The sequence below is a fragment of the Homo sapiens genome, chromosome 4 (assembly GCF_000001405.40).
Source record: "Homo sapiens chromosome 4, GRCh38.p14 Primary Assembly".
Classification (NCBI taxonomy): domain Eukaryota; kingdom Metazoa; phylum Chordata; class Mammalia; order Primates; family Hominidae; genus Homo; species Homo sapiens.
This window is the reverse complement of record NC_000004.12, coordinates 1,414,951-1,429,358: the sequence shown is the minus strand read 5'-3', so window position 1 is coordinate 1,429,358 and position 14,408 is coordinate 1,414,951. Positions and strand designations below refer to the sequence as shown.

General features: G+C 47.1%; 1 annotated feature.

Annotated features, from left to right (window-relative positions):
* Positions 13,535-14,208: an enhancer, noted in NCBI's record as "H3K27ac-H3K4me1 hESC enhancer chr4:1408939-1409612 (GRCh37/hg19 assembly coordinates)". NCBI's record gives its function as "activates a minimal SCP1, AML or CMV promoter by ChIP-STARR-seq in naive H9 embryonic stem cells {active_cell/tissue: H9 hESC(naive)}" and the evidence as "EXISTENCE:reporter gene assay evidence [ECO:0000049][PMID:30033119]".

The window sequence follows — 14,408 nt, the reverse complement described above, 5'->3', positions numbered from 1 at the left end:
GACACCGGGGGAAGTTGTGAGTGTATATAGATGTAATGATGATTATAACACCGGGGGTAGTTGTGAGTGTATATAGATGTAATAATGATTATGACACCGGGGGAAGTTGTGAGTGTATATAGATGTAATGATGATTATGACACCGGGGGAAGTTGTGAGTGTATATAGATGTAATGATGATTATGACACCGGGGGAAGTTGTGAGTGTATATAGATGTAATAATGATTATGACACCGGGGGGAAGTTGTGAGTGTATATAGATGTAATGATGATTATAACACCCGGGGAAGTTGTGAGTGTATATAGATGTAATGATGATTATAACACCGGGGGAAGTTGTGAGTGTATATATATGTAATGATGATTATAATACCGGGGGAAGTTGTGAGTGTATATAGATGTAATGATGATTATAACACCGGGGGAAGTTGTGAGTGTATATAGATGTAATGATGATTATAACACCGGGGGAATTTGTGAGTGTATATAGATGTAATGATGATTATAACACCGGGGGAAGTTGTGAGTGTATATAGATGTAATGATGATTATAACACCGGGGGATGTTGTGAGTGTATATAGATTTAATGATGATTATGACACCGGGGGAAGTTGTGAGTGTATATAGATGTAATGATGATTATGACACCGGGGGAAGTTGTGAGTGTATATAGATGTAATGATGATTATGACACCGGGGGAGGTTGTGAGTGTATATAGATGTAATGATGATTATGACACCGGGGGAAGTTGTGAGTGTATATAGATGTAATGATGATTATAACACCGGGGGAAGTTGTGAGTGCATATAGATGTAATGATGATTATAACACCGGGGGAAGTTGTGAGTGTATATAGATGTAATGATGATTATAACACCGGGGGGAAGTTGTGAGTGTATATAGATGTAATGATGATTATGACACCGGGGGAAGTTGTGAGTGTATATAGATGTAATGATGATTGTAACACCGGGGGAAGTTGTGAGTGTATATACGTGTAATAATGATTATAACACCGGGGGAAGTTTTGAGTGTATATAGATGTAATGATGATTATAACACCGGGGGAAGTTGTGAGTGTATATAGATGTAATGATGATTATAACACCGGGGGAAGTTGTGAGTGTATATAGATGTAATGATGATTATAACACCGGGGGGAAGTTGTGAGTGTATATAGATGTAATGATGATTATAACACCGGGGGAAGTTGTGAGTGTATATAGATGTAATGATGTTTATGACACCGGGGGAAGTTGTGAGTGTATATAGATGTAATGATGTTTATAACACCGGGGGAAGTTGTGAGTGTATATAGATGTAATGATGATTATGACACCGGGGGAAGTTGTGAGTGTTTATAGATGTAATGATGATTATAACACCGGGGGAAGTTGTGAGTGTATATAGATGTAATGATGATTATGACACCGGGGGAAGTTGTGAGTGTATATAGATGTAATGATGATTATAACACCGGGGGGAAGTTGTGAGTGTATATAGATGTAATGATGATTATAACACCGGGCGAAGTTGTGAGTGTATATAGATGTAATGATGATTATAACACCGGGGGAAGTTGTGAGTGTATATAGATGTAATGATGTTTATAACACCGGGGGAAGTTGTGAGTGTATATAGATGTAATGATGATTATAACACCGGGGGAAGTTGTGAGTGTATATAGATGTAATGATGATTATAACACCCAGGGAAGTTGTGAGTGTATATAGATGTAATGATGATTATAACACCGGGGGAAGTTGTGAGTGTATATAGATGTAGTGATGATTATAACACCGGGGGAAGTTGTGAGTGTATATAGATGTAATGATGATTATAACACGGGGGGAAGTTGTGAGTGTATATAGACGTAATGATGATTATAACACCGGGGGAAGTTGTGAGTGTATATGGATGTAATGATGATTATAACACCCGGGGAAGTTGTGAGTGTATATAGATGTAATAATGAGACAACTTTCTGTATAAGGGAGCAATCTGGTTGTGGTGCGAAGTTCTCTACTTCCCATTTTAAGTGGCAAATATTAATTATAAATAGACTGTGACAAATTCAGCATGTAGATTGCAATCTTCAGAACGATTGCTTAAAACAAACAAACAATTTAAGTAGTGAAAAAACCCAGTAGAAGAATTAAAGTGGGAGACTTCAACATAGAAATAATCCGACAGAAGTCAGGAAAGGGATGGTAGAGGAACCACGTGAGAGGCCTCAACAGACACTCATAATAAAGTGTTAGGTCCAAGTCGAAATAAATAGTTAAAATTAAATACCCAGGAATTCACCAAATAAGGGAGAGATCTCTACAATTAAAACTACAAAGCAATGACAGGAATTGAAGAAGAGGCCGGGGCGGGGGCTGACACCTGTAACTGATGATAGGAATTGAAGAGGAGGCCGGGGCGGTGGCTCACTCCTGTAACTGATGATAGGAATTGAAGAGGAGGCCGGGGCGGTGGCTCACTCCTGTAACTGATGATAGGAATTGAAGAGGAGACCGGGGCGGTGGCTCACCCCTGTAACTGATGATAGGAATTGAAGAGGAGGCCGGGGCGGGGGCTCACCCCTGTAACTGATGATAGGAATTGAAGAGGAGGCCGGGGCGGGGGCTCACCCCTGTAACCGATGATAGGAATTGAAGAGGAGGCCGGGGCGGTGGCTCACCCCTGTAACCGATGATAGGAATTGAAGAGGAGGCCGGGGCGGTGGCTCACCCCTGTAACCGATGATAGGAATTGAAGAGGAGGCCGGGGCGGGGGCTCACCCCTGTAACTGATGATAGGAATTGAAGAAGAGGCCGGGGCAGGGGCTCACCCCTGTAACTGATGATAGGAATTGAAGAGGAGGCCGGGGCGGTGGTTCACTCCTGTAACTGATGATAGGAATTGAAGAGGAGGCCGGGGCGGGGGCTCACCCCTGTAACTGATGATAGGAATTGAAGAGGAGGCCGGGGCGGTGGCTCACCCCTGTAACTGATGATAGGAATTGAAGAGGAGGCCGGGGCGGGGGCTCACACCTGTAACTGATGATAGGAATTGAAGAGGAGGTCGGGGTAGTGTTTCACTCCTGTAACTGATGATAGGAATTGAAGAGGAGGCCGGGACGGTGGTTCACCCCTGTAACTGATGATAGGAATTGAAGAGGAGGCCGGGGCGGGGGCTCACCCCTGTAACTGATGATAGGAATTGAAGAGGAGGCCGGGGCGGTGGCTCACCCCTGTAACTGATGATAGGAATTGAAGAGGAGGCTGGGGCGGGGGCTCACACCTGTAACTGATGATAGGAATTGAAGAGGAGGCCGGGGCGATGGCCCACAGCTGTAATCGCAGCACTTTGGGAGGCCAAAGTGGGCAGATACCTGAGGTCAGGTGTTCAAGACCAGCCTGGCCAACATGGCGAAACCCCGTCTCTACTAAAAATACAAAAATTAGCCGGGCGTTTTGGCGGGCTTGTAATCCCAGACACTTGGGAGGCGGAGGCAGGAAGAGTTGCTTGAACCCGGGAGGTGGAGCTTGCAGTGAGCCGATATTGCACCACTGCACTCCTGCCTGGGCGACAGAGAGATAATTTGTCTGAAAAAAAAAAAAAAAAAGAAAAAAGAAAAAATGAAAGAAAAGAAAAAGAAGTTGAAGAGGGCACAAAAAGATATTCCATGTTCAGGAATTGGAAAAATCAATATCGTTAAAATGTCCATACTACCCAAAGTGATCTACAGATTCAATGCAATCCCCCTATTAAAATACCAATAACACATCACAGGAATAGAAAAAAAATCCTGAAATGTATATGGAACCAAAAAAGACCCCAAATAGCTAAAGCTATCCTGAGAAAAAAACAACAAACAAACAAAGAACAATTGTAGGAATCACATTAACACATAGATCAATGAAACCAAGCAGAGAATCCAGGAACAAGTCATATACCTACAATTAGCTCATTTTCAACAAAAGTGCCAAGAACCTACATTCAGGAAAAGACAGTCTTTTCAATACACGTTTCTGGGAAAACTGGATATGCATAAGCAAAAGAATGAAGCTCAACCCCTACCTCTTGTCATATACAAAAATCAAATCAAAGTAGATTTAAAGACTTAAATCTAAGACCTCAAATTATGAAACAGCTATAAGAAAACATTAAGAAAACTCTCCAGGACATTGGTCTGGGCAAATGTTTCTTGAAGAATACCCCACAAACACAGGCAACCAAAGCAAAAATGGACAAACGAGATCACGTCAAGTTAAAAAGCGTCTGCCCAGCAAAGGAAATAATCAAAACAATGAAGAGACTACCTGCAGAATGGGGAAAATATTTGCAAACTACCCATCTGACAAGGGATTAGTAAGCAGAATAGATAAGGAACTCAACAGTATAGGAAAAAAAATTCTAATAGTCTGATTTTTAAATGGGCAAAAGTTCTGAGTAGACATTTCTCAAAAGAAGACATACAAATGGCAAACAGGCATGTGAAAAGGTACTTGACATCACTGACCATCAGAGAAATGCAAATCAAAACTATGAGATATCATCTCACCCCAGTGGAAATGGCTTTTATCGAAAAGCTGGAGGGTAACAAATGCTGGTGAGGATGTGGAGGAAAGGCAACCCTCACACACCGCTGGTGGAAATGTAAATTAGTGCAACCACTATGGAGAACAGTTTGGAGGTTCCTCAAAAAACTAAAAAGAGAGCTACCATACGACTCACCAATCCCACTGCTGAGGACACACCCCAAAGAAAGGAAATCAGGTTACCGAAGAGATACCTGCCCTTCCATGCTTGTTCCAGTACTGTTCACAACAGAAAGATTTGGAAGCATCCTAAGTGTCCACCAGGAGATGAATGGATAAAGAAAACGTGGTACTTACACACAATTCTGTCATAAAAAAGAATGAGATCCATGGCCAGGCGCCATGGCTCATGCCTGTAATCCCTGCAATTTGGGCAGCTGAGGTGGGGAGATCACCTGAGGTCAGGAGTTTGAGACCAGCCTGGCCAACATAGTGAAACCCCGTCTCTACTAAAAATACAAAAATTAGCAAGGCGTGGTGGTGCACGCCTGTAGTCCCAGCTACTCAGGAGGCTGAGACAGGAAAATGGCTTGAACCAGGTGGCAGAGGTTGCAGCGAGCTGAGATTGTACCATTACACTCCAGCCTCGGTGACAAAGAGAGACTCCATCTCAAAAAAAAAAAAAAAAAAAAGAATGAGATCCTGTCATTTGCAACAACATGGATGGAACTGGAGGTCATTGTGTTAAGTGAAATAAGCCAGGCATAGAAAGACAAATTTTGCTTGTTCTTACTTATTTGTGGGAGATAACAATGAAAACAACTGGACTCAGAGAGAGTAGAAGGATGGTTCCCAGAGGCTGGAAGGGTGGTGGGGGTGGGAGTACGGCTAATGGGCACAAAGGGCAGGTAGAAAGAATGAATAAGACCTAGTATTTGATAGCACAACAGGGTCACTGTAGTTAATAACAATTTAATTGTACATTTAAAGATACCTAAAAGAGGCCGGGCGCGGTGGCTCACGCCTGTAATCCCAGCACTTTGGGAGGCCGAGGCGGGTGGATCACGAGGTCAGGAGATCGTGACCATCCTGGCTAACACGGTGAAGCCCCGTCTCTACTAAAAATACAAAAAATTAGCCGGGCGTGGTGGCGGGCGCCTGTAGTCCCAGCTACTCGGGAGGCTGAGGCAGGAGAATGGCATGAACCCCAGGGGGTGGAGCTTGCAGTGAGCCGAGATCGCGCCACTGCACTCCAGCCCGGGCGACAGTGAGACTCTGCCTCAAAAAAAATAAATAAATAAAATAAAGATACCTAAAAGAGTATAATCGGATTGTTTGTAACACAAAGGATAAATGCTTGAGGGGACGGATGTCCCATTCTCCATGATGTGATTTTTATGCTTTGCGCGCCTGTATCAAAGTATCTCATGTACCCCATAAATATACACACATACTCTGTACCCACAAAATTAAACTCAAACACAGTTATGTTAAATGTCAGTAATCTAAACATACCCAATTAAAAGGCAGAGATTGTTACAGTGAATTTTAAAAAATATCCATCCCACTACATGCTGGCTACACAGAACCCACTTTATATATGACTATATTTGTAAATTAAAAGTTAAAGGATAAAAGAGATATACCAGGGAAATGTTCATCAAAAGAAAGCTGGAATGGCTACAATATCTGATAAAGTCAACTTCAGAACGAGAAAAATTATTAGGGGTAAACAGACATTACATAATGACAAAAGGGTCAATTCACCAAGAAGACATAAAAACCTAAACGTGTATTGCCCTCATAACAGACCTTTAACTGAAAGGAAAAGTAACAGACTCACAACTCTAGCTGGGGCCTCAACAGTCCTCTCAGTATCAACAGAACAATTAGGTAGATAAGGAGGGAGGATACAGGAGAACAATACCATCAGCCAACAATTTCTAAATGACATTTACAGCATCTGCCATCCAACAGCAGCAGGACACACGTTCTTGTCATGTACACATGGAACTCTCCAGAGAAACCATATCCTGGCTTATAAAACAAAACTAACAGATTTAGAAGAATTAAAATTATGTAAAGCATGTTCTTTGACAATAGTGGGTTTAAACTGGAAATGAATGACCTAAAGATACCTTTAAAACCCCAGAGGCTGAGAAATTAACAATTACACTTGTAAGTAATCCATGGATCAAAGAAGTTCTCCTAGAAGAAATTAGAAAGCATTCTGGACTAAATACAAATGAAAATTTAAAATATCAAAATTTTTGGTATGCAGTTAGAGCAGCTCTTAGAGGGAAATTTTTAGCAATAAATGCTTATATTAGAACATCTCATTGACAACCTAAGCTTCTAATTTAGGTAACTAGACAAACAAGAGCCAAAGAAAACCAAAGCAATCAGAGGAAAGAATAGTAAAGATAAAACCGACGTCAGTGGAATTAAAAACAGATAACCAGGTGCAGTGGCTCATGCCTGTAATCCCAGCACTTTGGGAGGCTGAGGTGGGCGGATCACTTGAGGTCAGGAGTTTGAGATTAGCCTGGCCAACATGCAGAAACCCCGTCTCTATTAAAAATACAAAAGTTAGCCAGGTGTGGTGACACATGCCTGTAATCCCAGCTACTTGGGGGTCTGAGGCAGAAGAATCACTTGAACCTGGGAGACAGAGGCAGTGAGCTGAGATGGCGCCACTACACTCCAGCCTGGGTGACAGAGCGAGACTCCATCTCAAAAAACATAAGTAAATAAAATGTTAAGAAAAATAGAAACAAAAATATTAGATAAAATCAATGGAATCAGAAGCTGGTTCTTTGGAAAAGTCAATAAAAATAGGTAAAACTGATAAAGAAAGAGAAGATACAAGTGACCCATTACAGGCATAACAGAGGGGCTGTCACTGCAGAGCCCACAGGCATTGTAAGGATAACAAAGGAGCATTCCATGCACGGATTCAGCACCTCAGATGACTGGACCAATTGGAAATCCACAAACTACCAAGACTCACTCAAGAAGAACTAATAACCTGAACAGCCCTATCTCCACTAAAGCAGTTGAATCCATAGTTAATAACCTCCCAAAAAAGAAAACTCCAGGTCCAGATAAATTCACTGGTGAATCTTACGAAATATTTAAACATAAAAATAACTCCAATTCTATACAAAACTTAATCAAAAAATAGAGGTGGAAGTGACACTTTCTATTTTATTTTATTTTTTTCTCTTTTTTTTGAGTTGGAGTCTTGCTCTGTCGCCCAGGCTGGAGTGCAGTGGCGCGATCTCGGCTCACTGCAAGCTCCACCTCCCAGGTTCAGGCCATTCTCCTGCCTCAGCCTCCCGACTAGCTGGGACTACAGGCGCCCGCCATCATGCCCGGCTAATTTTCTGTATTTTTAGTAGAGACGGGGTTTCACCATGTTAGCCAGGATGGTTTCGATCTCCTGGCCTCGTGATCCACTCGCCTCAGCCTCCCAAAGTGCTGGGATTACAGGCATGTGCCACCATGCCCGGCTGGAAGTGACACTTTCAACTCATTTCGCAGGGCCAGAATTCCCCTAATACCAACACCAAAGTCATCACAAGAAAAGAAACTACAGGACAAAACCTCTCAGGCACATAGATGTGGAAATCTTCAACAAAACACTAGCGATCAAATCCAGAAACATGGAAAGCATGAGCACATGATGGCCAAGTGGGGTTTACCCTGAGAACACAAGGCTGTTCAACAGAGAACGCCAGCCATCACAATCCACCATGTCAACAGACGCAACGAGAGAAGCCATATGAGCCTATGGATACGGAAAAAAAATGTGATAAAATGCAACATCTGTTAATGATTTTACAAATTTCTCAGAAAATTAAGAATAGGAAGGAACTTCCTTAACCTGGAGCTATTATAAAATGTTTTTGAATTTTTAGGATTTAATCACTGATCGTGGGTATATAGAAATTAGATTGACCTTTTTCAGGCTTTTTCTCTGACCTTGCTGACTTATGAATTCTGGGTGCTTTTTCCTTGGGATTTTCTACGTAGATAATCATGTCGTCTGTATGCAGGGCTAGTTTTATTTTTTCTGTTTCAATATGTTTACATTTTATTTCTTTTTCTTGCCTGAAATATTTACAGGTGAAGCAACTTAATGTCTGAAGGTATATTTTAAGATTCCAGAATAAAGGTGTGGCTTTGGATACACAAAACCATATTGACACCAAAATGTTGACAGATGTTGCATCTGAGTGACAGGTCCCAGGAAGCTGATCTTACTCTGCGCTGTATTTTTGTGTGTGTTTGAAATATGTTATAGTAGAGGGTACTTTTTTTTTTTTTTTTGAGATGGAGTCTCCCTCTGTCGCCCAGGCTGGAGTGCAGTGGCGCGATCTCAGCTCACTGCAACCTCTGCCTCCCAGGCTCAAGCAATTCTCCTGCCTCAGACTCCCGAGTAGCTGGGATTACAGGCACCTGCCACCACGCCCGGCTAATTTTGTATTTTTAGTAGAGACGGGGTTTCGCCAGGTTGGCCAGGCTGGCCTCGAACTCCCAACCTCAGGTGCTCCGCCTGCCTCGGCCTCCCAAATTACAGGCATGAGCCACCATGCCCAACCCAAGGTTACTTTTTAACCTATTGCCACCCACAAAACAACCTCAATAGCTGACCAAATGGAAAAAAGACAGAGCTCACAAAGAAGACAAAGTTCACAAAAAAAAAGAAGCTACGTGGCTAATATTCATGAGGGAAAATGTTCCTTCTCACCAGTGTCCACAGAAATGGCAACCGCCACAGAAGGAGGCGGGGATGCCACCCTGTGAGATGGTGCCCATGCCAGTGACGCCGGAGACGTTACCCAGCCTTTAGGAATTCCCTCCCTTTAACCCAACCCATCACTTCTGGTGTCTCCTAGAGGTGAACTCAAGTCTAAACAAGAATCTACACAGCAGTGGTTCCAGGCACAGAAAGCCAGACTGCCTAGGCACACGGATGGACGGCTCACGCCCTCCGTGTGACAGGGTTCTATGGGACCGGTAAGAACCTGTGTTACGAAGTCTGCTATGACAACGAGAAATGCCTAGGATACAAGGGGGGGCCAGCATCCAAGTGCCCAAGGCTATAGGTGCAGCGCCCACATTTATGGTTTTTTTTTTTTTTTTTGAGACAGAGTCTCGCTCTGTCACCCAGGCTGGAGTGCAGTGGCAAGATCTCGGCTCACTGCAACCTCCACCTTCTGGGTTCAAGCAATTCTCCTGCCTCAGCCTCCCGAGTACCTGGGACTACAGGTACTCGCCACCACACCCGGCTAATTTTGTATTTTTTTTTTTTTAGTAGAGATGGGGTTTCACCATATTGGTCAGGCTAGTCTCGAACTCCTGATCTCAAGTGATCTGCCCGCCTCGGCCTCCCAAAGTGCTGGGATTACAGGCGTAAGCCACAGCACCCGGCCAACATTTATGTTTTTAGGAAGCAGAAAACGAGATGAGAGGAAAGCAGAAAACGGCAAGGTGTGAGCTGGGCCGTCGCTGTGCTGTGGGTTATGGGAGATGCTGCTTCTCCTCTGTGCTTTTTCACGAGCACGTGTTACTTTGATCACTAGAAAAGGCAACGGTTGTCTACAATCACTGTGAGGGCAGGATGTCCTCACAGACACCTGGCAGGGTTCGGCCAGGTCAGCAGGAAGCCCAGGTGGCATCCTCGTCACAGCTGGAAAGAGATACCGTCACGACCAGCCCCCCTCGCTGGGATCACGGGGTGTGGTCCTGGGTGGTGTCTGTGTTCACATTCCCTTATTCATCCCCAGCCCTAAGCTGCCTCCCACATCTGCCGTGTTGGGGAGGTGGAGGAGGAGACATGGAGCCTCACCCCACAGCCTCCTCAGTGTGATGACAAATGGGCACTTGGATAGGGGCTGGGAGGACTGACGTAATGGGGCATCCTTTGGTGAGGCAGCCACCAGGACCTATCTCGAGTATTGACCCCAGGGCACATCAAAAAAATTAAGTTCAGTAATTTGCTGGGTGAGGTGGAGGCTTCTGTAGTTCCAGTTAGTGAGGAGGCTGAAGTGGGAGGATCATTTGAGCCTGTGAGTTCCAGGCTGCAGTGAGCCGTGACTGCGCCACCGCACTCCAGCCTGGGCGACAGAGTGAGACCCTGTCTCAAAAAGCAAACAAAAGTTATCATTGGCCCAGCACTTTGGGAAGCTGAGGCAGGAGGATGCCTTGAGCCTGGAAGGTCGAGGCTGCAGTGAGCCAAGATCTCTCTCCTGCACTCCAGCCTGGGTGACAGAGTGAGCCTACCTCTAAAAAGAAAAAAAAATTATGGCAGAAATTGCCATGTAATGAAACAAGCAACAGAAAGTGCATGCCAATGGTGAAAGTTTTATTGAATTTATATATTATTAGTAAAAAAATTAACTACGTATTATAATGCAAAATCGGAAAAAGGGAATGGGTTGATGCTTTTTAATGACATGAATGTCATAAATATTTCCTTTTTGGAATCATTTTAGATTAACAGCAAAGCTGCGAGGAGCATGAGAGAGCACCCACCTACACCCCACGGCAGCCCACATTCACCTCTTAAGTCACCCCCGGACATTTGTCAAAACTAGGAGAGCGGCATCGCCACACACTATGAAGCAAACTACACACCCTCTGGGATTTCACCGACTTTTTCCCCCACGAATGTCCCTTCTGTCATCCAGGGTCCAGTCCAGGACGCCAAACTGCTCTCGGCATGGATGTATTTTTAGCAGAAAAAGGCGCTTGAAGAAACATGTCCGAGGGAGTAAGTGCCGCGAGGCGTGCGGGCAGCCTGCGCCTGGAAGAACAGGGTGGGAGGCACCAAGTTCTGCAGCTTGGTCTCTGCGGCCACTGTGCCATCTGTTTATTTTGAACCTACTGTTTACACAAAGGAACGAGTGGGACCTGGGGTGGGGTGGGGACAGGAGCTGAGCTTGAAATTGAACCGCGCTCCCAAACCACAGGCCTCCTCTCAAAATGGACGCGTGTGGCCGCATCGGCAGGCCACAAGCAACTGTGAACCGGGATTCTATAGACTCGCTTCCGTGTAGGGCACACACTTAGCAAAGGACATTTACATGCTCATATGCTACCTGTCCACATGCACACACCCGGCAGTACCCACAGCCGCCACTGCAAGCTTTGACCGTCAAAACACATTCCTGGGCAGGAGTGTTGGTCACGGACATTGTTCAGAAGCACGTCTCTTGTGGTGGGAGGAAGCAGGCAGCCCGTTTGTTGCTTTCACTTTTTTTTTTTTTTTTTTATATGGAGTTTTGCTCTTGCCCAGGCTGGAGTGGAGTGCAGTGGTGTGATCTTGGCTCACCGCAACCTCCGCCTCCCGGGTTCAAGTGATTATCCTGTCTCAGCCTCCCAAGTAGCTGAGATTACAGGCAACCACCACCATGCCTCGATAATTTTGTAATTTTAGTAGAGTTGGGGTTTCTCCATGTTGGTCAGGCTGGTTTCGAACTCCCGACCTCAGGTGATCTGCCCACCTCAGTCTCCTAAAGTGCTGGGATTACAGTCATGAGCCACAGTGCCTGGCCTCACTATTGTTTTAAATTCCCTACAGACAGGGTGCCCACTGCCCGGCCACCATGCCCAGAGACAGTGAGGAGGACCTGGGCCATCTGGGCAGGGGATCGGCCTGGCCTGACAGGGAAGGGGTGGTGTGGAGTTTCAAACAGCGAGCCAGCCCCGCTGAAGCCCCCTGGATCCCCGCCAGGAGGTTCCAAAGAACCTCAGGCTGCCAGAAGACAGGTGCGTCTGAGGCCCACAGCTACTGGGCAGGGCAGACTCACTGGGCCGCACCTCCAGGCCCCCACTAGGAAGCCCAGCAAGGGAAGGGCTGCATTCACCAGAGCCACTTGCAGGCACCAGGCTGCCTGCAGCACTGAGGACGAGGGGGAAAGCAGCCGCCAAGCTGCAGTGTCTGTGATGTGTGATGTCTTCAGATTTCACCCCAGACCACCATGTGTGTCCTGATTTTGGGCATGGGACAGCAGCACTCCTGAAAGGCACACGACCCGGGACTGCGGAGCCAGTGTGGGTCCTCCATTCCACCAGCAAGTCAATACATCCTGCACTGGGGGGCAGTCTTGGCGGGCATAGGGGGTTGACCAGGGCAGCCAGGATCCAGCCTCTCTGAAGAGCTAATGTCAGAGCAGAGAAATTCATGTCAAAGAGAAGATGAAGAGGAGGTGACTTCAGAACAAGGGGACAGCCAGTGCGAAGGCAGCTGGCCCGCTCACCCCTCAGGCAGCAGGGAGGCCGTGCGGTGGGGTCGTGGGAGCCAGGAAAAGGAGAGGAAGGGTGGGCAGGGCAGTCCCGGCCGGCCCCATGGACTCTGGCTACCGGCATGGGTTTCAGTCTCTGAGTGTGGGGTGGTGGTGGAGGAGCTCGAGGTGAGGACTGGACTCCACACATGCAGGGAATGGTCCAGCCAGGCCCTCACTTCAGAGAAAGACAGGAAAGCCGGAGGGGGACAGGGGCCCTCCAGGCCCCAAAAGAGAGCCAAGAACGTGGGCACCTGCCCCCCCGCCCCCCGGCCAAGTCTGCAGCTGCAGGCCAGCAACACAGGCGGGCGGGCCCTCCACCCCAGTCTCTCAGTTCCGCCCTCCGCCCCAGCCTCTCAGTCCCACCCTCCACCCCAGCCTCTCAGTCCTCCTGGCCCGCTGAGGGCCCCACCTCAAGCAACCCTGCCTGACGTGCCCACTGGCTGCGTCCGAGGAAGCTGGGCCATGCTGGGCCTGCTGGTGGGGACGAGGCCAGCGAGGCGGGCAGCAGTATCCCAGGCCTTCGCAGCACCTGTCCCCAGATTAGATTTCCCCTTTCTCATTACCACCGTAATGGGTCCTTCAGACCTCATTCCAGCCCTAGATATTATCTGACCCGTATAATTAATTAATTATAGCCCAAATATTATAGATTATTAAAAATAGCATAACTAATAGTGTAATATCTCAAGCTGTCGACTTTAATAGTCAACATTGTCTTGGCGGAGCTTATCAGCCCGGGACACCCGGTGAGAATATTGATTCCGGGTAATTTTAGCCGTCATCTGCCATCCTGACGGGGAATTGTCAGGTCCTCACCCGAGCCGGGCCTCATTTGAAATCGTTAAACCTCCGCGCAGCTCACAGTGGATCTTAATGTTTCCTTTTTCTCCCCTTCAATATGTTTCGGCAACAGAGAGGAAAATAAATGGAGAATTGAAGTGCTGGAAGTGGGATAGGAGGATCCGTTCAAGAGGAGGGGGTGACTGACTTGTCTCTTGCCTTGGGGACGCTGGACTCTACATCCCTCGTCTTTTCTGGGGGGCTCCTTTTGGCCAAGCCCACGAGGCTGTGAGGGGGAGGGGCCAAAGGACAGGGCCGAGGGACTGAGTCGCACACAGACACCGCACATGGCACTGCAGCCCGGCCGGAGACCAGGGGGCCCACTCCAGGGGCCCCGCCACAGGCCCACGACAGAGGCCCCGGACACGCTCAAGCCAGGAGCAGAAACACACGCATCCACGCGCACAAACCCACGGACGCCCGGACGCTCACACAGGCCGTGGTTGGCATGCACCGTGCGGTCACACACGGACACGGACACGCGTGGATGCCCCGCAATGCACACGATCGTAGGGACACGTGGATGCGGACACTCGGACACACCGCGCGGTCTCAGGCGCACGCACCCACTCGGAGATCACAGGTCGGACGCGCGGGACGGACACCCACGCGCCACTCACGGGGTCCTGCGGGTGCCGGGAGGGGCCGAGGCTTTGCAGGGGACGGGGGGATCCGCGAAGGTCGCAGAGAATCAGAAAATGTAGGGGCGGCGCGGGGAGCGGGCGAGGGCGGGGCCGGCTCC